At 60.3% G+C, this 24804-nt stretch overlaps 1 protein-coding gene and 1 long non-coding RNA gene across 3 annotated transcripts, besides 9 other annotated features; one reads left to right on the top strand and one right to left on the bottom strand.

Moving 5' to 3' along the window:
• On the top strand, positions 6546–8091 carry MINCR (MYC-induced long non-coding RNA). Of its 2 annotated transcripts, NR_120682.1 has the most exons (3): positions 6546–6764; positions 7249–7364; positions 7731–8091. It is a non-coding gene; the product is annotated as an MYC-induced long non-coding RNA (long non-coding RNA). The 2 variants fall into 2 exon arrangements; NR_120683.1 differs by lacking the exon at positions 7731–8091 and having other exon boundaries at positions 7249–7424.
• Positions 6617–6766: an enhancer, noted in NCBI's record as "active region_28068". NCBI's record gives its function as "activates an Ori minimal core promoter by ATAC-STARR-seq in GM12878 lymphoblastoid cells {active_cell/tissue: GM12878}" and the evidence as "EXISTENCE:reporter gene assay evidence [ECO:0000049][PMID:35858748]".
• Positions 8063–8705: an enhancer, noted in NCBI's record as "H3K27ac-H3K4me1 hESC enhancer chr8:144361711-144362353 (GRCh37/hg19 assembly coordinates)". NCBI's record gives its function as "activates a minimal SCP1, AML or CMV promoter by ChIP-STARR-seq in primed H9 embryonic stem cells {active_cell/tissue: H9 hESC(primed)}" and the evidence as "EXISTENCE:reporter gene assay evidence [ECO:0000049][PMID:30033119]".
• On the bottom strand, positions 11315–20801 carry GLI4 (GLI family zinc finger 4). Its single transcript, NM_138465.4, has 4 exons — positions 20762–20801; positions 18726–18886; positions 13444–13542; positions 11315–12349 (listed from the first exon to the last, which is right to left on the bottom strand). The coding sequence occupies exons 2-4, from the start codon at positions 18847–18849 to the stop codon at positions 11442–11444; spliced, it is 1131 nt and encodes a 376-aa protein (NP_612474.1). The 5' UTR covers positions 18850–18886; positions 20762–20801; the 3' UTR covers positions 11315–11441.
• Positions 11922–12565: an enhancer, noted in NCBI's record as "H3K27ac-H3K4me1 hESC enhancer chr8:144357851-144358494 (GRCh37/hg19 assembly coordinates)". NCBI's record gives its function as "activates a minimal SCP1, AML or CMV promoter by ChIP-STARR-seq in naive H9 embryonic stem cells {active_cell/tissue: H9 hESC(naive)}" and the evidence as "EXISTENCE:reporter gene assay evidence [ECO:0000049][PMID:30033119]".
• Positions 12566–13209: an enhancer, noted in NCBI's record as "H3K4me1 hESC enhancer chr8:144357207-144357850 (GRCh37/hg19 assembly coordinates)". NCBI's record gives its function as "activates a minimal SCP1, AML or CMV promoter by ChIP-STARR-seq in naive H9 embryonic stem cells {active_cell/tissue: H9 hESC(naive)}" and the evidence as "EXISTENCE:reporter gene assay evidence [ECO:0000049][PMID:30033119]".
• Positions 16861–17361: an enhancer, noted in NCBI's record as "H3K4me1 hESC enhancer chr8:144353055-144353555 (GRCh37/hg19 assembly coordinates)". NCBI's record gives its function as "activates a minimal SCP1, AML or CMV promoter by ChIP-STARR-seq in primed H9 embryonic stem cells {active_cell/tissue: H9 hESC(primed)}" and the evidence as "EXISTENCE:reporter gene assay evidence [ECO:0000049][PMID:30033119]".
• Positions 18147–18336: an enhancer, noted in NCBI's record as "active region_28067". NCBI's record gives its function as "activates an Ori minimal core promoter by ATAC-STARR-seq in GM12878 lymphoblastoid cells {active_cell/tissue: GM12878}" and the evidence as "EXISTENCE:reporter gene assay evidence [ECO:0000049][PMID:35858748]".
• Positions 18963–19785: an enhancer, noted in NCBI's record as "H3K4me1 hESC enhancer chr8:144350631-144351453 (GRCh37/hg19 assembly coordinates)". NCBI's record gives its function as "activates a minimal SCP1, AML or CMV promoter by ChIP-STARR-seq in naive H9 embryonic stem cells {active_cell/tissue: H9 hESC(naive)}" and the evidence as "EXISTENCE:reporter gene assay evidence [ECO:0000049][PMID:30033119]".
• Positions 20346–20465: a silencer, noted in NCBI's record as "silent region_19614". NCBI's record gives its function as "represses an Ori minimal core promoter by ATAC-STARR-seq in GM12878 lymphoblastoid cells {active_cell/tissue: GM12878}" and the evidence as "EXISTENCE:reporter gene assay evidence [ECO:0000049][PMID:35858748]".
• Positions 20626–21335: a silencer, noted in NCBI's record as "silent region_19613". NCBI's record gives its function as "represses an Ori minimal core promoter by ATAC-STARR-seq in GM12878 lymphoblastoid cells {active_cell/tissue: GM12878}" and the evidence as "EXISTENCE:reporter gene assay evidence [ECO:0000049][PMID:35858748]".

Here is a 24804-nt window from a genome sequence, read left to right as displayed (position 1 = left end):
GAAAAGCAAGAGAGATCAGATTGTTACTGTGTCTGTGTAGAAAGAAGTAGACATAGGAGACACCATTTTGTTCTGTACTAAGAAAAATTCTTCTGCCTTGAGATTCTGTTAATCTATGACCTTACCCCCAACCCCGTGCTCTCTGAAACATGTGCTGTGTCAACTCAGGGTGAAATGGATTAAGGGCTGTGCAGGATGTGCTTTGTTAAACAGATGCTTGAAGGCAGCATGCTCCTTAAGAGTCATCACCACTCCCTAACCTCAAGTACCCAGGGACACAAATACTGCGGAAGGCCGCCGGGTCCTCTGCCTAGGAAAACCAGGTATTGTCCAGGGTTTCTCCCCATGTGACAGTCTGAAATATGGCCTCGTGGGAAGGGAAAGACCTGACCGTCCCCCAGCCTGACACCCGTAAAGGGTCTGTGCTGAGGAGGATTAGTAAAAGAGGAAGGAATGCCTCTTGCAGTTGAGACAAGAGGAAGGCATCTGTCTCCTGCCCGTCCCTGGGCAATGGAATGTCTCGGTATAAAACCCGATTGTACGTTCCATCTACTGAGATAGGGAAAAACCGCCTTAGGGCTGGAGGTGGGACATGCGGGCAGCAATACTGCTTTGTAAAGCATTGAGATGTTTATGTGTATGCATATCTAAAAGCACAGCACTTGATTCTTTACCTTGTCTATGATGCAAAGACCTTTGTTCACGTGTTTGTCTGCTGACCCTCTCCCCACTATTGTCTTGTGACCCTGACACATCCCCCTCTCGGAGAAACACCCACGAATGATCAATAAATACTAAGGGAACTCAGAGGCTGGCAGGATCCTCCATATGCTGAACGCTGGTTCCCTGGGTCCCCTTATTACTTTCTCTATACTTTGTGTCTTTTTCTTTTCCAAGTCTCTCGTTCCACCTAACGAGAAACACCCACAGGTGTGGAGGGGCAACCCACCCCTTCAAGACTCTGTCTCAAAACAAACCAATCAAACCAAACAAAACAAAAACAAACAAACAAAAAAAGACCTCAGAGAAAGAGGACTGTTGTTCAAAGAAGAGGCCGTGGGTCAACTGAAGCAAGTGGACACGCAGCCAGGAAACAGGTGACACAGAAAGGAAGGACTCCCAGTCTCCTGGCAGAAGGAGCAGGGGAGGCAGAGACCTCTGAGTTACCCCTGGAAGCCGAGGGCCTGACCCCCACAGCCGCAGGATGGAAATCCTGCCACGGCCCGAATGGTCAGGGAAGGACCTCAAGCTCCACAGGAGTTCGGAGACCAGGACAGCTTAATGGCAGCTCCAGGAGACCCTGGCAGAGACCTCAGCCAAGCTGTGCCGGGCTCCCGCGTGGCAGGATCTGTGAAGTAACAGACGGGTTTTTGGTGAGCAGGTTCCAGGTGAGACACACCAGTGGCCCTAAGAGGAGAAAATGCAAGGGTGGTAGGAAGTGGCGGGTGCACCAAGACCTAGCGGCCAGCCTGACCAGCACTGACTGGCACCTTGGTGCTGTGCAGTCAAGGAGAACTGGCTCAGGCTCAGGACATTCACTCCTGCTGCGCTGGGCACCAGGGACACCCCCGAAGGTGGACAGAGCACCACGGGGGCTGCCCTGGGAGCTCGCGAAAGAGAAGGGAGAAACACAGGCACAGCAGGCACCGCCTGCCAGGTGCCAGAAAGCAGCGCGTGGAGGCCTCATTAGAAGCAGAGAGCAGGGAGCAGTGACTCAAGCAGCACTGCCAGCGGGTCCTGAAGTGTGGGCAGGAGTTTGGGGAGGGCGCTGAGGTGGGGAGGCCGCTTGGCTCTCAGGGAACCCAGCCTTGTCGCACGGATGCTGGGCTTCCTACTCTGGGGTCCTTGTAGCCACTAGGGTGTTCTAACTCAGAAAAGACACCACAGGTTTGGGATTGGAAAAGGGCTTGAGAAGCACACAACCCCAGCAATAAAAATGGGGTCAGAGCAAACACTCAGAATGGGAAACCACACGCCGGCGCGGACGGGGCCAACAGACACACAGAACCACCCGGAGTGACCTCTAGCACATCGTGTGGAGCAAAAGGAGTGCCAGGAGGGCGGGCAGACGAATCCATTCCTGAGAGGCCCGATGGCAGACAGGGCCCTCCAGAAGCTAGAATACCCATCAGCTGGGGGAGGGGAAGGGAAAGGGAGGAGAAGCTCTGGAAAGTTCCATGCTGTGACCTGGGGGGATTAGCAAGAGTGTAAACATGTAAACAGTCAAGCCGAGTGCTTAAAATTTGGGCATTTTCGCTATGTAAATTATACCCTAATTCAAAAAAATCAAGAACACCATATCCCAGGAAAACTTAATATAAAATATTGACACCAGCACGGATCTTGGTGAAGCTATTCAAGGTTATGGATGAGGAAAGAATGACCAAGGCATCCAGGCAGAAGAGGAGCGTTTCAGAGAAAGGGCAGAGGCCAAGGGCTTCCCAGTGGTGCAGGCTCAGCACAGTCCTGCAAGGAAAAACCTAAAACCCAACCACATGCCCCAAGCCCTTGCTATTCGCCATGCCCTCCGTCGAGTGTAATGGCTACAGAGGGCATTCTAGAGCTTTCAGGAGCTCAGCATGCAGCCCCTCTTGCCTGCCCCCGTGGAGCCCTCTCCCCAGATGGGAGCTGGGCTCAGGGTCCTGCTGGATGGGCACATGGACCGAGGTCCTGGGAAGCCGCCTGCTCCCACTTGCATCCTGCCTGTTACTCTCGTCACCCAGACGCTGTTCACCCAGGCTCTGCAGCAGGCGCTGGGCTGGATGGTCTACCGTGTAAACGAGGGGATTTCCCATCCCACGGGCTGCTTGAGGAGCAGCAGCCTCACAGAATGGCCATGCACAGAGTGCAGGGCGGCAGGACGGGAAGGCCCTGCCTGGAGTCAGGCACACGAGTGCCACAGTAGTGGCATGATTTTGCCCACCTGAGACTCAAGGACTGGGACACCTGTCCCTCCTCCTCCACCCACGCTGCGGGGAACTGCATGGCTCCTCCGGGCGGGGACCATAGCTTTCCGCCTCAACGTACCTGGGGCTCGGCATGCTGCGTTGAATTTTGGAGTGGATGAGGAGTGAGGGTGTGGCAGGGCGGCTGGAGCTGCCCAACTGCTGAAACTGCTGCAGGTGCCACAGCGGCTGGCTCCCTGAAAGCGTCCTCCTGCCTCTGAGACCGTAGCGCAGGAGGGTGCGAGTGCACCTCCGCAAGGCCTGACGCTGCTGATCCACTTCCTCTCCCCACGATGGGGACACACTTGGCGACAGTTCCATCTGGGGTAAAAGACCCACCAAAAGGTCGCTGGCATGGGCACTCCAGGGACACCAAAGTGGAGTCTGGGAGACCCCTCGGCTTGTGCGGGGAGCATTCCTCCCCGAAATGCTCGTCCACTTCTGGTTACAGCAATCTTTGAGGGCAGGGAGGGTGGCCAGCAGGGGGCATTGTGGAGCAAGCACGTGGGCCTCGGATCCAAGCCTGGGTTCAAATCCGGGCTGTGGGACGTCCTCACCAAGTCTCGATTTCCTCCCGTAAATGAGGGATGCTGGCGCCCCTCTCGCTGTGGGGGAATAGGGCTTCCAGCACTGCTCCCAGCAGATCTCAGACCTCAGGACGTGAAGGTTATTTTAGGGACAAGCTAACCATGAAGTCTATTTAGTGTAACAGCAAGAGCTGCTAAAAACGTGCACAGACATTCCTTGTACAGCCTGAGTATCCCTTATCCAAAATGCTTGGGACCAGAAGTGTTTTGGCGGCCGGGAACAGTGGCTCACGCCTGTAATCCCAGCACTTTGGGAGGCCGAGGCGGGCGGATCACGAGGTCAGGGGATCGAGACCATCCTGGCTAACACGGTGAAGACCCGTGTCTACTAAAAAAAAAAAAAAAAAATTAGCTGGGCGCGGTGGCGGGCGCCTGTAGTCCCAGCTACTCTGGAGGCTGAGGCAGTAGAATGGCGTGAACCCGGGAGGCGGAGCTTGCAGTGAGTCAAGATCGTGCCACTGCACTCCAGCCTGGGCGACAGAGCGAGACTCTGTCTCAAAAAAAAAAGCTTTGGCTTTTTTTGGGGAATATTTGTACCATAGTTAGCAGGTGAGCCTCCCAAATTCCCACATCCGAAATCTGAAGTGTTCCAGTGAGTATTTCCTTTTGTGCGGCATGTCAGCTGCTCAAAAGTTTTGAATTGGGGGTGTTTGGATTTGGGATACTTAGCCCGTAGTGCTGAGGAGAAAATTTCTGTCTCTTCTATTTTTCCTACACTTCCCAAATTTCTTTAAAGAGTATGAATAAATGCTATTGGGTAAAAAGAAATCTGTTTAAAACCTGTGATCTTTAAAGACTTGACCAGGGTATCCCACGCTTGAGGCACTGCCTAGGCCCAGTGAGCCAAGCCCAGCCCGAGTCGGCAGCGCGGCCCCGCCCCCGCAAGCCCCGCCCCATGCCGAGGGCATTTCCGGGCGCTCTAGGCAGCTCGGAGGACCCGTTCGGAAGACTGGCGGGGGACCCCAGGCGAACCCAAGGGTGGCGGGCCAGGGCCGGGCGAGTGCCTGGCGTTGCTCGCGCGGCTGGGGGCCATGGCTGTGGGGCCTCTCTGGGAGGGGTCGCGAGGCTGTGAACTAGCACGGGGCTACGTTGTAGAGAGAGAGATGGGGCGTCACGGAGGCAGGGGGTGCCAGGCAGGGCGCGGCTGCCAGAGGCCCAGAGGCCGAGCTGGGCCCTGCAGGTCTGAGGTGCAGGACCCGATTCTGGCCCAAGCAGGGGCGTCCCACGGCTCGAGCTGCCCGTCCAGGTGGTGTCTGAGGAGAGCCTGGGCAGCGGCCTTGCAGAGGGCAGGCCAGCAGCTCCTGCTTTGAGGGCTTGGAGGAGAACAGATTCCCGAACCAGGCCCATGATCAATGTATTTGGGTATTTGAACTAAATCCAGATTTCCTGGCTTCCCCTGAGGCCTGCTGAATCCCTTGGGGTGGGGCCTGGGAATCTGCGTTTTCCAGTGGGCCTCTCAGGTAGTTGGGTGGTCCCTGAGTGGGTTCCCATGACCCCATGAAACAAGACCCTAGAAAACGCAAGGCAAAGCGGCCTGGTGAGTGGCCAATGGTCTACAGGAACTGGATGTGATCAGAGCGAGACCTGCATCAACTGGGCAGGGGAGGCGTGGAGCCATACCTGAGGAAGAGACCCAGCCGGAACCCAGGGAAGAGCAGGCTGTGAAAACTGGGCAGAAACTTGCGGCGACTCGGAAGACACTGCCAGGAAACCCTCCCCGGGCCTCCTGTGGGGCTTGTAGCAGCCGCAGGGGTTGGCTCTCACCTTCTAGTCCCAGCCAGGTTGTCTTGGAGTCAGCTAATGGGCAAGGCCCCTACCTCTCTTAGGATCTGAGGATGGGAGGGGCTGCGTTTTTCCAGAGGATCTGCACGTGTGCAGGCTGAGTGTTGAGACTTGATTGGTGTCAACTGGCACTGCCTGCCCATGATGCACAAAAGCTACTGTAAGAAACAGGGTCCATGTCTCCAGGGAGCAGGACCCCGTTCTGAGGCCACAACCCCGAGGGCAGTCTCCGCCTGCAGAGTCCTCCCTCTCGCACCGGCTCACCTCGTGGTGAATCCCTTGGCTACGGTTTGGTGTGAGAAAAGAGATGGGTGTTTCACTCCCTGCTGCATCCCTGGTGACGGCCCTGGCATTTCGGGGCATGAGATCTTTGCTTAAAGGTTTTGCGGTGGTCACTGCACAGGGGGTGGGGGTGGGGTCCCTTGGTGCAATTTATCCGATTCTGCTGCGTGGATGACATCCACAGTGTTCCTCTCCAGTGGGGATTATCTGAGACCTTTCCGCATGCCCGCACCCACAGTCCGCTCCCTCACGGCAGCATGAACTCAGGAGGCGGGCGTTCCCACAGTCATTACATTTGCAGGGCCTCTCTATGTCCACTCTGATGCCTGAGGACCAGCGCTTCCACGAAGGTGTGGCCACGTCCAGTGCTGCTCATTGGCTTCTCTCCTGCGGGAATGTTCTGATCCCGAACGGAGCCTGAGCATGCGCGAAACCCTTCCCACGTTCACAAGGTGCTTCTCCAGTGTTCCATTACATCTCACCTATGCACACTACATGCATACGGTTTCCACCGGCTGTGCGTGTCCCTAGAAGTCACATTCACGGCGTTTCTCCCTGGGAGGAATTCTCCCGTGCATGGCTGCTCTGAGACCATTTGCACCTGCGGCCACGCGTGGGCTCCTCGAGGCTTACAAACCAGGCTGGACTCCTGAAGCCCTAGCTGCACTTGGCACTCGGCGAGGTTTTTCTACAAAATCTCATCTCAGCCATCTGAGTCCTTCACCATTTATCTTATGAATCCGCTCGAACGTACAAGGAAGGCCTCTCTGCCCTCCTGCTCCAGGGAGGAGGTTTTGACCCTCAGCTCCACCTCTGCGGCTGGCCCGGTCTCCGCAAACCTTTTTCTGCTTGGCCAGCTGGTGCCATGCTAGGCTTTCCCACTAGGGGCGCCAGAGAAAGCGCGCGAGGCTGCGGAGGAGAGAGGGGCACACTCTTTCCGGTTTGCTTCCGGTTTTTTCCTCAGGCTTCCGGTCTGTTTGGTGCCCTGGTCGCGTGTCTTCCGAACTCTGCTGCTTCGCCCCGGCAAGAGCACTTCCTTCCGCGGCTGCTAAAACTGGTGCGCGGGTTCCCAACTTCGCAGAAGAGCTTCATCGGCCCCCCGCTAGAGACCTCAGACCGCAGCCATCGACGCCTCGCCTCGGGGATCTGTCCCCACCCTCGGGGCCAGGTCAGGGACCAGAGACCTGCGAAGCCCTCTCCTTAGGGGTTTAGTTCCCAGGCTTTCTGACCCCAGTAATTCCAAACGCTTCCCTTTGTTTCCACAGCCCTAGCGTAGCAGGTGCTCCCTGCAGTTTTTGCTTCTGAGATAGAGTTCTCTTTTCAGCTCCTTCGGTAGTCACTTCGTACATAGTGATTCATGATGCGAAATCCTCTCTGTTGAAATAACTGACGAGGCCTCTGTCTTCTGACTGGACCCTGACTTCCATGCCCTTTCCACTCTCACTCCAGTACATGCCCAAACCCCAATCTTTGTTGCTCCAGGCATTGCCTCTGTGGCGCTGTGTCCCCTCCTTTGAACTCTGATCCTTCTGCTCAGGCCCTTTCTCCCAGTCTGAAGTAAGGAGTGAAAAAATGTGAATTGTTCTACTCATCTGGAAAAGAGAACCCTGAGGCAGGAACAAGTCGTTAATTGCATGTGCGTTTGTCCACAGCTCACCATGAGTCAGGCCCTGTGCTAGGTGCTGGGATGAAGCAGTGACTGACACAGGCCTGGACCTGTCCTTGGGAAGAGTGCGTCTGTGACACAGATACTGTGCCATGTGGCAAAGTAAGCGCGTGGGACAGCAGAGCCTTGTTTGCCATTAAAGTAATATCACAAGTCTGTTAAGGTTGGAGAATCAAGTGAACATGCTGAAAAGTTATGGGGAATGTAGTCTCATAGCTGGGGGAGCTGGGGGCCTTGTCAATTGGTTCCCCCAGTCTGGAGAGCAATCTGAGAGTAAGTAGTGACACTGTGTGTGCTGAGTGTGTCTGTGGGGGTGTTTTTGGATAAAATTAACATTTGAATTTGTGAACTGAGTGAAGCAGAGTGCCCTTCATAATGTGGGTGGGCCTCATTCAATTAGTTCAAGGCCCGCATAGGAACCACCTCCTGCCTGACTGAACCGGGACCTACGTCTTTTCTTGCCTTCAGACTTGAATGGAGACATCAGCTCTTTGTGGGTCTCAAGTCTACTGGCTTTCAATCAGCTCTTCTGCTTGACAGCTGCAGGTCTTGGGACTGCCCAGCCCCCATAACCCTGTGAGTGCATTCCTGATAATAACCCTCTTTCTCTTGTCCTCCCCCACCCCACATCATTGGTTCTGTTTCTCTGGAGAACCATAATACATCATTTACTAATCAGGAAATAGATTCAGAGACATTAATAACTCATCCAACCTCACAGTTAACTGTAGAGTTGGGCTTGAAATTCCAAGGTCGATTTTCTTAGCCAATACACCATGCTACATATATGTATGTAAAAATAAAAACGCTTGTGAACTGAAAAGGGTCCAAACTTAAGCTCATTTTGGTCCTTAATTGCTAATCCATAGGCATGTTTTGGTCCTTAATTGCTAATCCATAAGCATGTTTCGGTCCTTATTTGCTAATCCATAGGCCTGCACACCTGCCCCCAAGGCCATGGTTAGGTCAGCACTTGGCCCTCCCCTTGTCTGGGGCTGCCAGAAGCTGCCTCAGAAGACCTCTCCCTGCAGCTCCAGTGCTTTAGGGTTCAGCGCCCCTCCAGGGCCTTTATTTCCTTCTGGGCTCAAAAGCAGATACTGTGCCAGATACAGATGATCACTTTCTGGGTTCCAGAACTCACATGCACCCCTTTTCCTGGTCTCTCACATTTGCTGTGACCAACCCAAGCCTCAGGTGGTCCTCTGCTGAGACTGTCCACTCACGCTGTTGACAGAGCCCTTCCAGGAGCTCTTTTTGTGGGGATTTGCTATGTACCTGGCACTGTGCAAAGAACCCCACCCATGCCGTCCTTGCAGCCGCCATGTGCGGTGCGGAGCGGGCTGCGCTAACCACCATTGTCAGAGGCAGAAACAGGCTCCGTGAGGAAGGATAAGTGTGGGTTATGGAATCAGGGCTGGCAGATCCCAAACCTTGGCTCCCAGATACCATGGGATCTTTAGGAAGATCCCTGGTCACTTCGGGGAGGAGAGAGAGGGCGAAGGCTGAGAATCGGGGTCCTGGGTCGGAGGAGGGAGAGGGGTGGTGGTGTGGGCTTGGAGGTGGTGTGGGTTGGAGATTGGCCGTTGAGCTGGAGATGCTCCAGGTGGTCTGCGTCCAGGTTCCTCTGGTGGCGGGGGATGGGGCAGAGCCGGCAGGGGTGGGACGGGGCTCCGAGCCAGCCCCGGGGGCGGCCACCCGGACAAGCGGCCCTCGTGTGACGCAAATCGAAGGAGGATGGGGAGAGGCGTGACCAAGAGGCCGAGCACAGCTCAGGGTCGCAGGCGTCCCGGGAGGGCTCAGGAATATCACGTCCGGTTCAACTGCACGCTGATAAACCCGGCAGCCACCACAAGGTAGAAAAATGCCCTTAAAAGTCCACGCCTGGGTCCTGCCGGGCCGCTCTGGGGTTCCCGAGAAATGTTGAGTGGATCAGATGGCACGTTCGAGAATCAGCCCCGTGCCCGCGGGCTTGGAGAAGGCACTGAGGACACTGGGAAAGACGTAAATGCCATTTCAGCGCATCTCGCGGGCCCTGCCCAACGAGGGAGGACACAGAGACCTTGCAGAGAGTTTAGGACCCGGCGCGGAGGAACAGCCCTGCCTGGCCCAGGACCCGCCGCACCCCACTTCCTTCTCCGGGAAGCCTCCCGTCAGCTGCCGCTGCGGGAGTCTCGTGCGGGCTGCCGCGAGTGCGCATGGCCCCGCCCCCTCCCCGCCCCTCCAGGAGCTGCGGCCACTTCCGGGACTATCTGGGACGGCGTGGAGGACCGCCGGGCTCCCCTCTCCGGTCGCAGCGGGCGGGAGTCCAACCCGGGCGCCGGGGTCGCCCTCTCCAGGTCTCACCTGCCCTCCTGCTGTGACTCCTCCAGAACCCCCGGCCTGGCCCCCAGGTGTGCCCGTGGTGGGCCTGTGAGATCACTGTCCTGTTGAAGACGAAGGCTACCGTCCCCGCTTTTTGGCGGTGTCTGCGGGGGCCTGCGCAGCGCGCATCTGATGTCATCAGCCCCCAGCAAGCCCGTTTTCCAGAGAAGAACCCGGAGGCTCCGAGGTGACTCGTGGCTTGCTCGAGGTCACACGATCAGTGACGGCACCAGATGAATCCCCTAGTAGAGCCAGCACCTCGGCCTGGCTGCCCACGCGTGTTACTGAACAAGGAGAATGCAGGCGTCCTCACCCTTACCTTTCAGGCAGACAGTCTGAACCCCAGGCCCACCGCACACCAGCAAGGACGCCTCAAGTAGGCGCCTGCCTCCCAGCTGACTTCGGACAGACACACTGACCTCCAGCCCGCACCCCTAAACTCGTTCTCACCTGGCAGAGTGGGGCGTCCAGAGCGCTGGTGGCCATAGGGCCCCCAGAGCATGGTCTGGAGAGGGTGGCGGGGGCTGGCAGAGCCTGGGGCCGTCTTCCCCAAGGGGCTGCACAGGGCCCTGTGCCGCAGGCTCCCAAGCCGGGCAGCCGCGTTCCGGGGGCTTCTGAGTTGGAAACGAGGTCCCGCTGTCTCAGCAGGGGCCTGGGTGGATGGCTGGTCAGGGAGCTCAGGGATTCATCTGGTGCCGTCACTGATCGTGTGATCTCGAGCAAGCCACACGTCACCTCGGAGCCTCCGGGTTCTCTTCTGGAAAACGGGCTTGCTGGGGGCTGATGACATCAGATGCGCGCTGCGCAGGCCCTCGCAGACACTGCCAGAAAGCGGGGACGGTAGCCTTCGTCTTCACCAGGACAGTGACCTCAGAGGCCCGCCACAGGCACATCTGGGGGCCAGGCCCGGGGTTCTGGATGAGTCACAGTAGGAGGGGAGGTGAGACCTGGAGAGGGACAGCCTCGGAGGAGCCAGGCTGGGGTCCGGGGTCTGCCAGCTGTCCCGGAGGGCACAGGCAGGGCAGGGAGAAGGCACTGGCAGAATCACTGGCACTCAGCACTTGGAGCCACCCCCAGCTGAGCTCTCCCAGAGCTTCGTGGCCCAGACTCCCCTGCCCAGAAGCAGTGTTCCGGCAGCTCTGAAGAGGGCCCGGCAGGCCCAGCCGTACCAGCCCACACCTGTCAAGACCTGAACACCCTGGGCCCCCACACCCCAGGGCAAGGGGCTGGTGCAGAGGAAGCCCGGGCCACTGCTGCCCAGCAGGCCCCCCACTGAATGGAGGCAGCAGAGCTGACAGGGCACGTGGGGAAGCCTGCTGCATTTACAGAAGCAGAGGCCTCCCAAATACATAAGGGAACCGAGTTGCCAGAGACCCCTCACCCAGGTGGCAGACAGGCAGCCTGGCCAGGCCTGTGAGCACTTCTAGACTGGCCCCGTCCTCGACCCCTGCTCTGGGCGCGCCCCCCCCGCCTCCCGTGTTGATGGTGGGGTATCAGCTTTGGGCAAGTCAGGACACCTCCAGGCCTCAGATCCTCCCCTACGACACTCGGGCCGCCCGCCAGACCCCAGGGACCCCGTGGCCCTGTATGGCAGGTCTTGGTGGAGCAGCCCCATCACCCCCATCCCGCAGCGGGTCCTCGGGGACAGGAAGCTGCCCCAAGGTCTCACCCAGGCAGGTGCCGGCTCCCACTTCCAACAATCAAAAAGAATTTATTCCGGACACGTGGCATGCGGTGCTGGGCAGTGCCCACCGTGGGGGACGGGGTGGAGGGTGGGTTGGGGGCAGGTAGGAGGCCGAGCCCCGAGCCCCCGCCCGGCTACTCGCGGTAGTGCACCCGCTGGTGCTGGATGAGCTGGGAGCTCTGGCCGAAGGCCTTGCCGCAGGCGCCACACGCGAAGGGCTTCTCGCCCGTGTGGGTCCGCAGGTGCCGGAAGAAGTGCGAGCGGCCGCGGAAGGCTTTGCCGCAGTCGGAGCACTCGTAGGGCTTCTCGCCAGTGTGGATGCGCTGGTGCTCGATGAGCACGGAGCTCCAGATGAAGGCCTTGCCGCACTGGCTGCAGGCGTAGGGCTTCTCACCCGTGTGCAGCCGCTGGTGGCGCACCAGGTTGGAGCTCTGGCTGAAGGCCTGGCCGCACTCGCCGCACTTGTAGGGCTTCTCGCCGTTGTGGATGCGCAGGTGCTGCGTGAAGTGCGAGCTGTGGCTGAAGGCGCGGCCGCACTGGCCGCACTCGTAGGGCTTCTCGCCCGTGTGGATGCGGTGGTGCTGGATGAAGCCCGACCAGCCGCGGAAGCGCTTGCCGCACTCGTGGCAGGCGTAGGGCTTCTCGCCCGTGTGGATGCGCTGGTGCTTCAGGAGCAGCGAGTTATACTTGAAACTCTTGCCGCAGGCCTCGCACCTGTGCGGCTTGGCCCCCCGCGCGCTGCCCTGCCGGCTCCGACCGAAGTTGACTCCCAGCTCGGCAGCCCGCTCGGGCGCACCCTCGGGCCCGGCCGCTGCTTGCTGCACGAGCGTCACGCGCCAGGCGCCCCGCGGCTGGGCGCAAGGGACGGCCCCAGGCGGCTGGCCCGCCGGCCGCTCCGCGCTGGATTCAGGCCCGAAGCCGGCGCTGCACCGGGCCCTGCGGGGAAGGCTCCTCAGGAGGCTGCGCAGCGCCCCGCCCGCCCCCTCGTCAGGGGCCTGAGAGCCAGGAGAGCGTGGAGCCTGCTCCGGCTTGGGCTCGGAGTCTGAAATGAGAAACGGCAGAGGCGGATAGTACCCGCATGCCCCCACCGTGGCACGGAGGGACGGGGACGGGGAGTGAGAGCAGAGCTGGACGGGGGGGCTTAGAGGGGACAAGGAGGGGCCAGGCACCCAGTGGATGGGAGACAAGCGGACAGGGGCTCGGAGTGCCGTGCCCAGGAGAGCTGACATAGACACAGGGGTGGGGGGCGTTGCAGGGTGACCCAGAGCTGCTGGGACCATCCACAGTCACCACGGCGGCCGTGCCGGTGCACGGAGCCACAGTGGCAAGACAGACCATGGGGTCACCCTTAGCCAGGAGGAAGCACTAAGTGTTGGTGAGGACCCGGAGCCTGGGGGACGCCAGAGCTCCAGAGGGCGCCTCAAAGCCCTTGCCGAGGATGTGGTCCATATGGGCACAGCTCCTCATGGGGCTGCCCCAGGCCTCGGTGGCAAGTGTGCTGCCGCCCAGCTCCCATGCCCACCCCAGGAGCTTCCCACGCAAATCTCTGGCCCAGGGTCTCTTTCCAGGGACCTGACCTCAGACACCTGCTCCCCACCCCAGGGCCGCCCAGATGTGGGCGAGGGCTCAGCACTGTTAAATCCAGCCATATCACTAACATCGCCCAGAGGGAACCCTGGGAGCTTCTCAAGGGGGAGGTGCAGGGGACCTGGACACAGCTCCAACCAGGCTGAGGGGAGGCCATCTAGGGGATGCAGGAGGAGGAGGGGACACAGGATAACTCGTGGATCTGGGGGGACAGTGGTGCCCTGAGCCAGAAGCCCCAGCCCAAGGCAGGTGGAGGGGAGGGAGGAGTTCCTGATTCACTGTGTCCAGCTGGGGCCGGCAGGAGTCCACGTGGGGCCACTGGCGCAGGTGGCTGTGGGCTGCAGTCACCGCCTCGGGAAGCATCAGTAACTGGACTGGCATTAGAGTGGGGGAGGGGCCACGGGGCAGAGGTGAGCTGATGCCAGGGAAGAAAAGGGGCCCCAGGAAGGGGGTGGTGCCAGCATTGGGGGTGCCACAGAGGTGGGCATTGTGAGGAGCCTGGCACGCGCAGAGCTCTGGTCCCCCAGTAACCCGATTCTGCTCACTCACCGGGCCAGAAGGTGTCTCTGCCGATCTCCACTTCCTCTACGTCTTGGAGATCCAGGTCGGACGGCTGGGAGAGCACCTTAGGGCTGGAGCCAGGGGAGCCTGGGGGTCAGGGAGGCTGGGGCTCACCTCCACCCTCTGGACCACTGCCTCCGCTCCTCTCTGACCGCCACGTGCTCCCGGGCTGTGGCCCTGACACAGGACACCTCCTGGCCCTCCCAATCCCAACAGCAGGCCCGCTGCTTGGGCTTCTCTAGCCACGAATGCCCTTTACCTTCCTTCCCAGCTCGGTTCAAGAGCCTCCTCCTCCAGGGGCCAGCATTGGGAGCTCATTCCCCTTCAGCCCAGTAAGCAGAGCCAAAACCTGGGGGAGCTTTGAAGCGGCCCTCCTGCCGTTGAAGGCGGCTTTGTCACCTTGGTGGGCTGTGGCCCACCCTCCTCCATGCCCCAGCATCCTGCAGTGCTGCTCTGGACCGGCCTCTCAAAGTGCTGGCCCTGCAGGCTCCCACACCCGTACCTCACAAAGCCTTCCTGCCTTGGCCCCAGACCTTTCTGTCCCTCCGGGGCTCTCTGCTGTCCTTGACGAGCGCCCAGAAACAGCAGAGGCAGCTGCTTCCAGCAGGCCCAGCGCACTGGCCCCTGGCTTCCTCAGGCAGAGCCTGAGGAATGGGCTGGGCCCATCTATGAGCCCCTCACCCCTGGGCACACCAGGCTTGGGCACCCAGGACCAAGACCCCCCTCCCACCCAAGACTTGGTGGGGGCAGGGTGGGGGGATGGCCTTAATGCTCAAGGAGCACAGACTGAAAAGGGAGGGGCGTGGGCTCCACTGCCCGAGGCCAGTGGTCAGCTCTCCTCACGCCAGCAGGGGCACCAGGCCCCTTTGGGGGTCTCACCTGTCTCCTCAGTGCTGTGCCACCTTGGTGCCTCACCTGCCCCCTCAGTGCTGTGCCACCCTGGTGCCTCACCTGCCCTCTGCCCACAGCAGAGAGGGTGGCTGGGGGCTGTACTCAAGGACGGGTGTGTCTCTTAGCCCCGTGAGGCCGAATCTGGGTGTCCCCAGCAATGACAATGCAGAGATGGGCACAGAAAGACGCAGGGCTGGGGTGGGCAGAGGCTCCTGTCCACACCCTGTTCATAACACAGTGCCTGGCTGTGACACCCCGTTCATAACAGTGCCTGGCTGTGAGCTTTTCATGGGGCTTTCCAGCCTCAGGCAGGCCTGCCCCAGCTGCGGTGGGGTGACCAGCTTGGCCCACCATGGAGGGGGGACCTCCCCAGTCCAGCCAGCCACTCACTCACCCGACACGCCCTCCCGCCCTCAGGTCGGCCCCTGGGAGACCTTCCGAACCCAGGCTGAGGAGTGAGGGGAGGCCCGATATGAAGGGCTGGGAAGTTCAGCAGGTGGGGGCGGCTGTGCGACGTCCCTTCCTCGAGAGCCGAGGGTCCAGAACTGCTTGGCTGCCCCAAAGCAGGATGTGGGGGTCCCAAACCATCTTTGGGTCTTTCGGATACCCTCCCCATTGTGGAGACAGGCCTGGGGGCACCATGTCACCATCCCCTGGCAGCCAGGGGAGCTGGCTTGTTCCACAGATGGCCAAATACAGGGCAGGCTCCAGCGCCATGCTCCTACAGAGGGGGCGGTGAGGACATCACCTGAGACAGCCTTGCCACCTTTGCCCTGCGCTGGGACACCACTGGAGAGGACCTGGCAGCCCTTTGAGAAAGAAAGTGACCCCGATTCCAGCTTTGTTCCTGGGGCCATGCCCTGGCACTGACAGGCAGGATGTTCCCCGGGCTGTCACTTTAAGAGGGCCAGTGACATTACCAAGATAGGAAGCACGCCAAAGCCGCTGCCAGCTGTAGGGGTGCCCGGAGACACCCTCAGAGTCAAGCAACGCCAGGTGGTGTGCACCGTCTCTACCCTGCTGCGGAACAAGCCGACTCAGGATGGCCCCCAGCTCCCTGGGAACTGCCCTGTGCAGGCAGCAAAGCACTTCCTAGGACCTTCTCTAGGGGAGGATGGGGGTGGCCTAGGGTCAGGTGTGGGCTGCATGGGTCACTGTCATTCCACTGCCTAACCCTGGATCCTGACACCTGCCCACATTCGGGCCATTTCTGCAGAGCTCAGTCACCTGCCACCTGCTGGCTGTGCCCAGGCTGTGCCAGGTCTCCACAGGGTGCACACCCAGACCCTGCTCCCCACCCTGCTGGCTCTATGCAGAAGTACCCCTGCCTCAGTTTCACCACCCCTCACCTGGCCAGTGCCCTCCCACTGTGCTGTGACACAGGGACAGTGTGGCCCGAACTGGAGAAACACCAGGGCTGCCCACCTGCTGGGGCTGGTCTTCCAAGTGGAGGTGAGGTGGCTGTACACGTCTGGGGACAGGCGGCAGGTGGGTGCTTTCCTGGCTGGAAGGGCCTTTGTGTATTAAATGGCACAGCAAGTGCTGTGTGCCCGGGCCTGGACCAGGGTGAGTTAGGGGAGCAAGCTAGGCGCTGGGGGGTGGTCTGTGGGAACCTAGAGTCCAGATCTCAGGTGCCAAGGCCAGGCGCTCCATGTGGAAAGATGCTGTGCCTGTCGCGGGGTGGCCCTGCCCTGCCCATGGGGTCCTCCCTAACAGCCTGGGCACTCAGTAACCCCCACAGGGCTGCAAGCCCCCAAGGGTCCCAGGCCTCCCCTCCCTCACTTCTTCCTGCCCAGACTGCCCCTCCACTCGCAGGACCCCTGGGTAAACCTTCCAGAACCGGCCCAGGCAGTGCTGGCTCTGGTGGGCGTGGCCTTGGGGCACAACACAATCCCTGAGAAGCTGTGTGGGGACCCTCAGTCCCCCAAGCCCAGCCCAGCTCCTGATCTGCATCTCCGTGGGGACCACAGAGGTCCTGGGAGATGAGGAACTGTGGCCTGTTCCCACCGCCTGGTCTCCCCGCTCTGCAAGGCTTGGGCTAGGCCATGGCCCCAAGTCCTTTGCTGTGGGACCCCAGCTTCATGGCTGCAGGGACCACCGCAGAGAACCTTACCCGGCCGCTCCTCATGCCCCTCACGACCCTCCCCACTGATAAACGGCTCCTACTTGGGACCTCCTCTGCTCCCTGATACGTCACGGCCTGGTGCCCAGCAACGCACCCACCAGAGGCTCCTGAGGTGACCACATGTGCCTGGGGTGGGCCCCAGGAACCTCGGTCTGGCCCACTGCAAACTTCTTTCTGGGAGTTGGGAGGCTGCGGCTCCAAGTCCTGTCTTGATCCCTAATTGGCAGGATGGCCCTGGGCAAGTTCCAGAAACAGCGAGGTCTCCCCTGCTTAGGAATCTGTGGCCCCTGGGCATTCCCAAGGAGCAGAGGAAGCTGGAAACGCCCAGAAACAGCCCCTGCCTTCACCCAGTGCCTGGAAGTTGGGACAGTAGCTGCCCATTGCTGCGGCCTGGCCCCGTTCTCTCTACACCAGGCCTATCAGCATGAAGAGGGGATGAAGGCCGCCCCCTTATCTGGCTCTGGCTACCTGACAGCCTTCCCAGGCCCCGCTGTGCCTCAGCCACAATCTCCTCCTGCCACAGTCTCTTGCTGGGGGAAAGCAGCCACACTTGCTGTTCTCAGGGCCCAGCTCATCTGTCCTCCCTGGATGTTGTTTCTAGCACAGCAAGGAGACGGCAGAAGCTGCTGGTGCAGCCCCCACTCCCTCCCACGGGGCAAAACCCCTGGGGGTTTCAGGGCACTCGGACATGGCTCCAGTGCCCAGGAGGCTTCCAGGCCTGTGGGGCTGGGGACTCATGCCTGGCTTTCTGGGCCTGGCTGCCCACAGCTGGTGGAGACAGGGCTGGGGGTAGCGCAACCCTGCAGGCTCAGGGGGCCTGGCCCCAGGCCCCTCCATGCTCCCCAGCCCACCCTCCACCTGGGCGTCAGTTTCTTATCCTGCAGAAACTGGCCTGCAGCCACCTCAGTGTGTGTCCTGTGCTGTGCCAAGATGATCTGCTGGGCTGTGCCCTCCCTCAGAAACTGTCCCCCTAGAGAAGTCACACCTCATCAGGCCTGGGGGGGTGCCAGGGCATGCCCTGAGTCTGCTGACCTCCTGGCCTTGTCTCTGGGCTTCTGTGTCCCCACTGGTAACGGGACAGGAGAACTCCTCTCAGCCATTGTACAGATGACATGAGAGGGCAAGGGTGGGCCCTGAGATTCTGACTAAGGGGTGAGGAGCACGGCCCTCAGGGGCATGGGCTGGAGGCCCAGCCACAGTGTGTGCTGCAGGGGCTTGGGATCCTTCCAGGTAGCCCCTGGCCAGGTCCACCAGGACAGGCAGCCCAGGCAGCCCACGGGCGCCCCTTCCCAGCCTCCTCGCAGTCCCTGGGGAGTTGCTCGGGACACCGCAGCGGAGACGGCAGGGCTGCAGGGGAGTGGATGCCAAGCTGCCTGGCTCCCTGCTCCTCTAACTCACCCTGGTCCTGGCTCCTTGGGGGAGCCCCCCGGACTCTCTGTCCCCATCTGAGTGCCCACCTGAGGGCCCCATGCAGCGCAGCTGCTCTCCACAAGCCTCAGTGGTCCCTTCAGCCACCAGGACTCTGACTCCCCAAGAGGGAGAACCCTGTGCCAGGTTGCCCCCATTCCTGGGCCAGGCACGGGCTCTCCAGGCTTGACCTATATGGGGCCTTGCCCCTGCTGTCAGCAGCTCATGTGCTGGGTTGGGCCACGAGGGCCGAGGCCAGGCCTCCTGTGGAACACCCAGCAGAGATGTAGCCTCAGGATCCCTGACCTCTGAGAGGGAGTAGAGCCAGGGGCACTATGGGGCTGGGACTCCCCCACACCTCAACTCCCAGAGCCTGCCATGTGACCATGAGGCCACAACATCAGGGGTGGAGCAAGGCTGGCGCTCTGTCCCTGCGAGTCCCGGGGGATCACACCCAAACCAGCTTGGCAAGGACTCTGGCTGCTCCACTTCCTGAATGACAACACACACTCAGAGGGGCGATGCCTTGCTCCTGGTCACGCTGGATCCAGATTTTGAGGCCACTTTCCCTCCTATACCTCAACTCAGGAAAGAAACAATGCGGGGAGCTGTCCCTAGGGAGCGAGAGCTCAGGCTTGGCCCCAGCCTCAACCACCGCTGCCCCAACCCAACCCGCGCCGAGCCCCTGGCCTGAGGGTGTGGGAACCCCAGCTGCTGAAGGAGCTGCATACAGGTGTCTGGAGGCGCCTCTCAAGTCAGCCAGCGTGGCAGGTCAGGAGGAGACAGGGCAGGGGACGTGAGGGCAGGGGATGCAGGGTGGAGGGCGCACAGCGGGCTGGGTGAGTACCATGTTGATGCCCATGGAGGTGAAGCTGAGGCTCGTGGTGCTGGGTTCCAGGTGTCCCCGGTGATGAGAGACTGACAGGGGACGGGACAGAAGGGGACTCCTGAATGTCCCCTAGGGCTGCCATCTTCCCTGAGACCTGCTGAAGGTGTCACACCTGGGACCTGGGGAAAATGAAAACCATGGCAGATGAGGGGATTGGGAGGAATGTCGGGGGGATGGTGCAGGAGGAGGCAACATGCCAGCTCTCCAAGGGGAGATGGAGGTTTATCCACTCCAGGAGGAGCAAGGATGGAGGATGAACCCACAGAGACACATAGGCCTGGGGTGAGGCAGTTGGGGGACCTGGCACATTTATTCAGTAAGGAATAACGCTTTGAGTGGCTGGGGACGGTGGCTCATGCCTGTAATCCCAGCACTTTGTGAGGCCGAGGTGGGTAGATCATGAGGTCAGGAGTTTGAGACCAGCCTGTCTAATATGGTGAAACCCCATCTCTACTAAAAATATAAAAATTAGCTGGGCGCAGTGGCGGGCACCTGTAATCCCAGCTACTTGGGAAGCTGAGGCAGGAGAACAGCTTGAAATCAGGAGGTGGAGGTTGCAGTGAGCCGAGATGGCGCCCCTGCACTCCAGCCTGGGAGACACAGCAAGACTCAAACAACAGCAGCAGCAGCAGCAGCAGCAAAGGAGTAACGCCTTGGAAGGCGCGCTTAGGAAGCAGCCACCGCCTGGGCGGCACAGCAGACGCCTGTGGGGGCTGAAGCGAAGCTCCTGTCCCAGCAGAGGCTCTGGCATCTCCTTCCAGCCCGTGGCATCACCCCTCCCCCAGAGAAAGGCATAGGGAGTCTTCCAGAAAAACCTCAGCTGCTGGCCCTGTGGGAGGGCTGAAAACCGAACCATGCCTGCTGCGCATGAGTGTTTTGGAGGAAATCTTAATAAGGTTTTTCCCGAACAGCAGAGAAGAGACGTTTCCAGAGGGCAACTCTCTTCCTCAGACCCTACAGAGCCCTCAGAGACTGCAGGCTGGAATCCCCTAGTCCAGCCCTGCAGCAGCACTGGGAGACTCACTCAGGGCTCCAAGACACTTCTTAGTTTACTTTGCAAAAACGGCTTGAGTCCAATGTGAAAAGTGACTTTTCTTTCATACTGTGATAGAGTAGGAACTCCTAATCTGGGGCAGGGAGTGAAGAAAGGAACGGGAAAAGAGGACAAAAGTTAACGGATACTCAGATCTAAGAACAGCAGACAGTGCCTGCTTCGAGGAAGTGGGAGAGGCAGCTCCCACACGGCCGCCACCCCAGTGCCCGGCTTCTGGGCCAGCCTCCATCCCCTAATGATGGGAAGGGTCAGGTCACCAGGTAGGTGGCCACTGGGTGCAGGTCCTCCACCCTGAAGTCACATCTCAAGTTACTTAGTTAACTTACTGGGGACACCTGGTAAAAGGGCCTGCTCGATCACCCCGACCCTGGCTTGGCCCCCAGGACTGAGCAGAGGCGACCATCACAGCGTGGACGCCCCTTCACCCCCAGGGACGCACAAACTCTGAGCTCCAGACTGAAGGGGGAAGGGCACTCCTGCCAGCGGCTCGGGGGAAGCATCCTCTGCCCCTCTGTTCCCAGCCCCGTGGGAGCGGACCCAATCGCCGGGAGCTCGGCACAGAGCGCGTCCGCCCGGCGGTGCGGCGCTGGGGTCCGGCGGCTCCTCGCTCCGGAGCGGCGGGACCTCCGGGCCTCAGTTTCCCATCTGCAGAGTGGCGATGACGACAGCTGCCGTCACTGGGTGCCTGGGAAAGGCGCCCTGCGAACGGACACCCGCTATCGCCAGGGCCGCTGGGCGGGGCGGTCCGCTGCTGCTCCGCGACCCCCAGGAGCCCACCCCGCTCCCCGGGCTTGGCCCAAGGCCAAGGTCACGGCGAGCGGCGGCTGCAAGGGCCGCACGGCCCGGCTGGGCAGGGCTGCACCGCGGAGTACGGCGCACGAGCTCGGACTGGGCTGGTCCCAGGCACCCGGAGCCGCCGCCGCCGCCCGCGCCCACTCACCTTCCGAGCGGGAGGAGGACGCCGCGCGCCGGACGGAAGTGTCCGGCCCCGCCCCACTCCGCCCGGCCGGCGCGCACTTCCGGGACGCTCTGGGCCCCGGGAGGACCGCACGCCTCGGTGGCCGTGTGGGGGCGGGGCCGGGAGCGAAGAGGAGGCCTTTCCCCGCCCCTCCCCTCGTGGGCTGCGCCCGCGCGTGGCTTTCGCGTACACGCTGGCCCGGATCCCGCCCGCGCCTGCAAAGCGCCCGGGCGCGGGGAGCGGCGCTGCGTGGGGCGCAGAAGCCGGCGCCTCGGAGCCTCCTTCCCGACGCCGGCCCTGCACCGCCCGGGGAGCCAGCGCGGGGCCGGGCTTCGGGAGATGACGGCGCCGTCCCCACGCTGCCCGCGGCCCCTCCGTGCACTCCAGGCCTCCGGGGGTCCTCGGCTGGAGTTGCTTCCACGTTCAGCTCGCGAGTCCCCCCCGCCGCCCTCTTGGGTTCCCTCCTCGGGATGTGTCCGCAGCGATGGTCACCGGCGGCCGGGAACCGCTGCGAGACGCGCGACCTCCCGCTCCCCTCGCGGGGGCCCCAGCGCCCTCGATTCTGCCTGCTTTCCAGGGGCGTCCCCGGGAGCCTGAGGAGGATGTTACAGGTTCCCCAAAGCCCCTTCATGGACTCCTTCCTCATTTTCCTCTTGTTCAGCCACAGTTTCTCCCTCAGTTCTGTGCTTACGACCTGAAAAGAGAAAATTGTCACTTTCTGGGAAAAATAAACGGCCGGGGAGGGTTCTTTGACCGTTTTGAGCAGGGGTGCAGAGAGCCGAGGCGAGGGGACCCCTGAGCTGGAGGGGCACGCGGAGCAGAGGGCGGGGGGGCCTGCAGACGGGCAACAGCTGCCAGGGTGGACGCTCAGGGCTGTGTGGGTGGAGGAGCCCCCAGGCTGATAATATGTAAAAATCTCTAAACTCTACCGCAAGAAAACAAACATTCCAGTTAGAAAATTGGCAAGAGCCGCAACAGACGTTTGACCGAAGAGGGCACAGGGATGGCAATAGGCTCGGGAAGGGATGGCTGTCAGGGAAGGGCCGGCCAGCATCGCGGTGGGTGCCACTGCACACTTGCCAGGTGGCTCAGGTAAAAACTGCTAACAAGTGCCAAGCATCACTGAGGTCGCGGAGCAGCTTGGGACATCGCCAGTGGTAAGGCAAAGTGGTGCTGCCATTCTAGAAATTGGCTTGGTAGTTTCTTAAAAAGTTATAAGTAGCGCCGGGCGCAGTGGCTCACGCCTGTAATCCCAGCACTTTGGGACACTGAAGTGGGTGGATCACCAGAGGTGGGGAGTTTGAGACCAGCCTGACCAACAGGGAGAAACCCCATCTCTACTAAAAATATAAAAAAGCTACCCGGACACGGTGGCGGGCACCTGTAATCCCAGCTACTTGGGAGGCTGAGGCAGGAGAATCACTTGAACCGGGAGGCGGAGGTTGCATTGCGCCGAGATCGCGCCACTTCACTCCAGCCTGGGCAACAGAATGAGACTCTGTCTCAAAAAAAAAAAAAAAAAAAAGGAACTAGTACTATATCTGATACTGTTTGGAAGTGAGCCCCCTGCACATCTCATGGAAATGTGGCCCCTGATGGTGGCGGTGGGACCTGGTGGGAGGCTATTTGGGTCATGAGTAGCTTGGTGCCCTCTCCTTGGTGATGAGTGAGAGCTGGCTGTTAAAAAGAGCCTGGCGCCTCCGCCCCTCTCTTGCTCTGGCTCTTACCAAGTGACGGATGCCCTGGCTCCCACTTTGCCTTCTGCTGTGAGTAAAAGCTTCCTGAGCCCTCCCCAGAAGCCTCTTCTTGTACAGTATGACCAGGGACAGCAGCACCCTCTGAACGCTGATCTGAACTGTGAGCCAAGCAAACCCCTTTTGTTCTTTATTTACTTTTGAGATGGAGTTGCCGCTCTTGTTGCCCAGGCTGGAGTGCAATTGGTGCGATCTCGGCTCACTGCAATCTCCGCCTCCCAGGTTTAAGTGATTCTCCTGCCTCAGCCTCCCAAGTAGCTGGGATCACAGGCATGCGCCACCATGCCCGGATAATTTTGTATTTTTAGTAGAGACGGGGTTTTGCCATGTTGGCCAGGCTGGTCTTGAACTCCTGACCTCAGGTGATCCACCCGCCTCAGCTTCCCAAAGTGCTGGGATTACAGGCGTGAGCCACTGCGCCCAGCTCCTCTTTTTTCTTTTCTTTTTTTTTTTTTTGAGACGGAGTCTCGCTCTGTGGCCCAGGCTGGAGTGCAGTGGCGCGATCTTGGCTCACTGCAAGCTCCGCCTCCCGGATTCATGCTATTCTCCTGCCTCACCGTCCTGAGTAGCTGGGACTACAGGCGCTCACCAACTTACCCAGTCTCAGGTATTCCTTTATAGCAGTGCAAAATGGACAAACACAGAACTACATCAGGAGAGCGGCGGACGACAATGCAATTGACTCGATGACAGGCTGCAGCTGCATTGCACCAGGCTGTGCAGACTCATTTTTGGGGGCAGCTGTGTCTTTGTATGTAGTTCTTGACGTCCTGTCACACGCACAGGCTGTTCTGTCACACACACAGGCTGTTGTCACCAGCTCCCTGTGCATCCAGCGCATCACGGGAAGCTGAGTCACCCAAGCTACCGTCCATGTCGGCTGACCCATGAGAAGCTGTGGAGCGTCTCACTCCCCAGGCCCTTTGGACAAATCCTCAGCCTGGCCAGCTCACAGGAGTGAAGGGAGATGGGAACGGGTGTAATCAGAGTGGAAGAATCCCCTTCCCCCACCAGGGAGGTGTGAAGGTGACGGGCAGGGCTTTGGAGGGAGTGCAAAGGTTGCTGATTTAATGAGCTCGGAGCCAGCAGCCAGTCTGGTCTGTTGGAGCAGCAGGTCCCCGCTCCTCACCTCGAGCAGGGTTTTGTTGGGTATTCACTGTAAATAATGAGCTAGTGTTTGTTATGCTGGGAGGAGGGGTTCCAGCCCAAACAGCCCCAGAGCCCCTGGTCCTAAGACGTGGGAGTCGGCCCACAGCCAGCCCCCCCAGCCTGTTGTCTTGATTTGTCCTCTTGGACTGTGGATTAGAAAAGGCCTCCATGGGCTTCTTTTGTTGAGATCGGGGAATCCAGTGCCTGTTCAGATACCCACACAGGCATGGCCTGCTCCAGCCAGTGCTGCTGGGGTTGGGGTGAGGGTGCCATCTGGACGGGCAGTGCCCTTGTCTCTAGGGGTCCCTGTGGGAACCTTCAAAGCTTCCCTGGCAGGAGGGCTGGTCAGAGACCCCGAGCCACTGGAGTAGAGAGGCTGAGAGCACTTCCTAGACCACACCTGGAGATGAGGGGCTTAGAGGAGTGGCCAGGCTTAAGGTCCAAGAAGGCTTCTCTAAGGGGCAGCATCAGAGAGAGATAGGGGTTGGAGCAGGAAGGAGGGAGGGGAGGCAGCAGAAGGGAAGGGCCAGCCCATCACAGAGAGGCAGGAGGGGCGCAGGGGCAGAGGTCTGATGCCTGAAGGAGTTGCCTGGGGTTCGAGTTTGGAAGACCAGGCAGGGGAGTGTGGTGAGCAAGGGGAGGACAGAACGGGATGGGGACAGACCGAACAGCCTTGACACCTCCACTGGGGGCTCAGACGTCATTCTCAGGGCACTGCGGGGCACAGGGGTCTGCAGGGAGGGAGGGAGGAGAGCTGACATGCACTGAAGATCTGCCTGGGGCTGTGGGGTAGAGAAGAGCAGGACAGAAGGGAGAGGGGGTCAGTGGCTGCAGTCCCCTGCACGTGACACAGCTGGCAGAAGTCCGCCTAAGTCCCAGGCCGGGATGCGGATGATGAGGAAGCTTTAGGCCTGGGCTGGTGGGGCAAAGACGGGGCCACTCTGGGTGTTGTCCTCAAGAGTGGAGAAAGGCAGTCAAGCACACTTGCCTCTCGCCAGCGCCAGCCACCGTGTCGCCTTGCTGGCTTGGTTGCAGGGGAGGGAGAGCTGGGAGGGTTCTGGTTAAGTGTGTGAAGGCATGACCAGTCTCCATCCCCACATCTCCAGCCACCGCAGAGGCTTG

Source organism: Homo sapiens, chromosome 8 (assembly GCF_000001405.40).
Source record: "Homo sapiens chromosome 8, GRCh38.p14 Primary Assembly".
In the NCBI taxonomy this organism is placed as follows: domain Eukaryota; kingdom Metazoa; phylum Chordata; class Mammalia; order Primates; family Hominidae; genus Homo; species Homo sapiens.
Note: the sequence above shows the minus strand (reverse complement) of the source record. Positions and strands in the feature narration are given on the sequence as shown.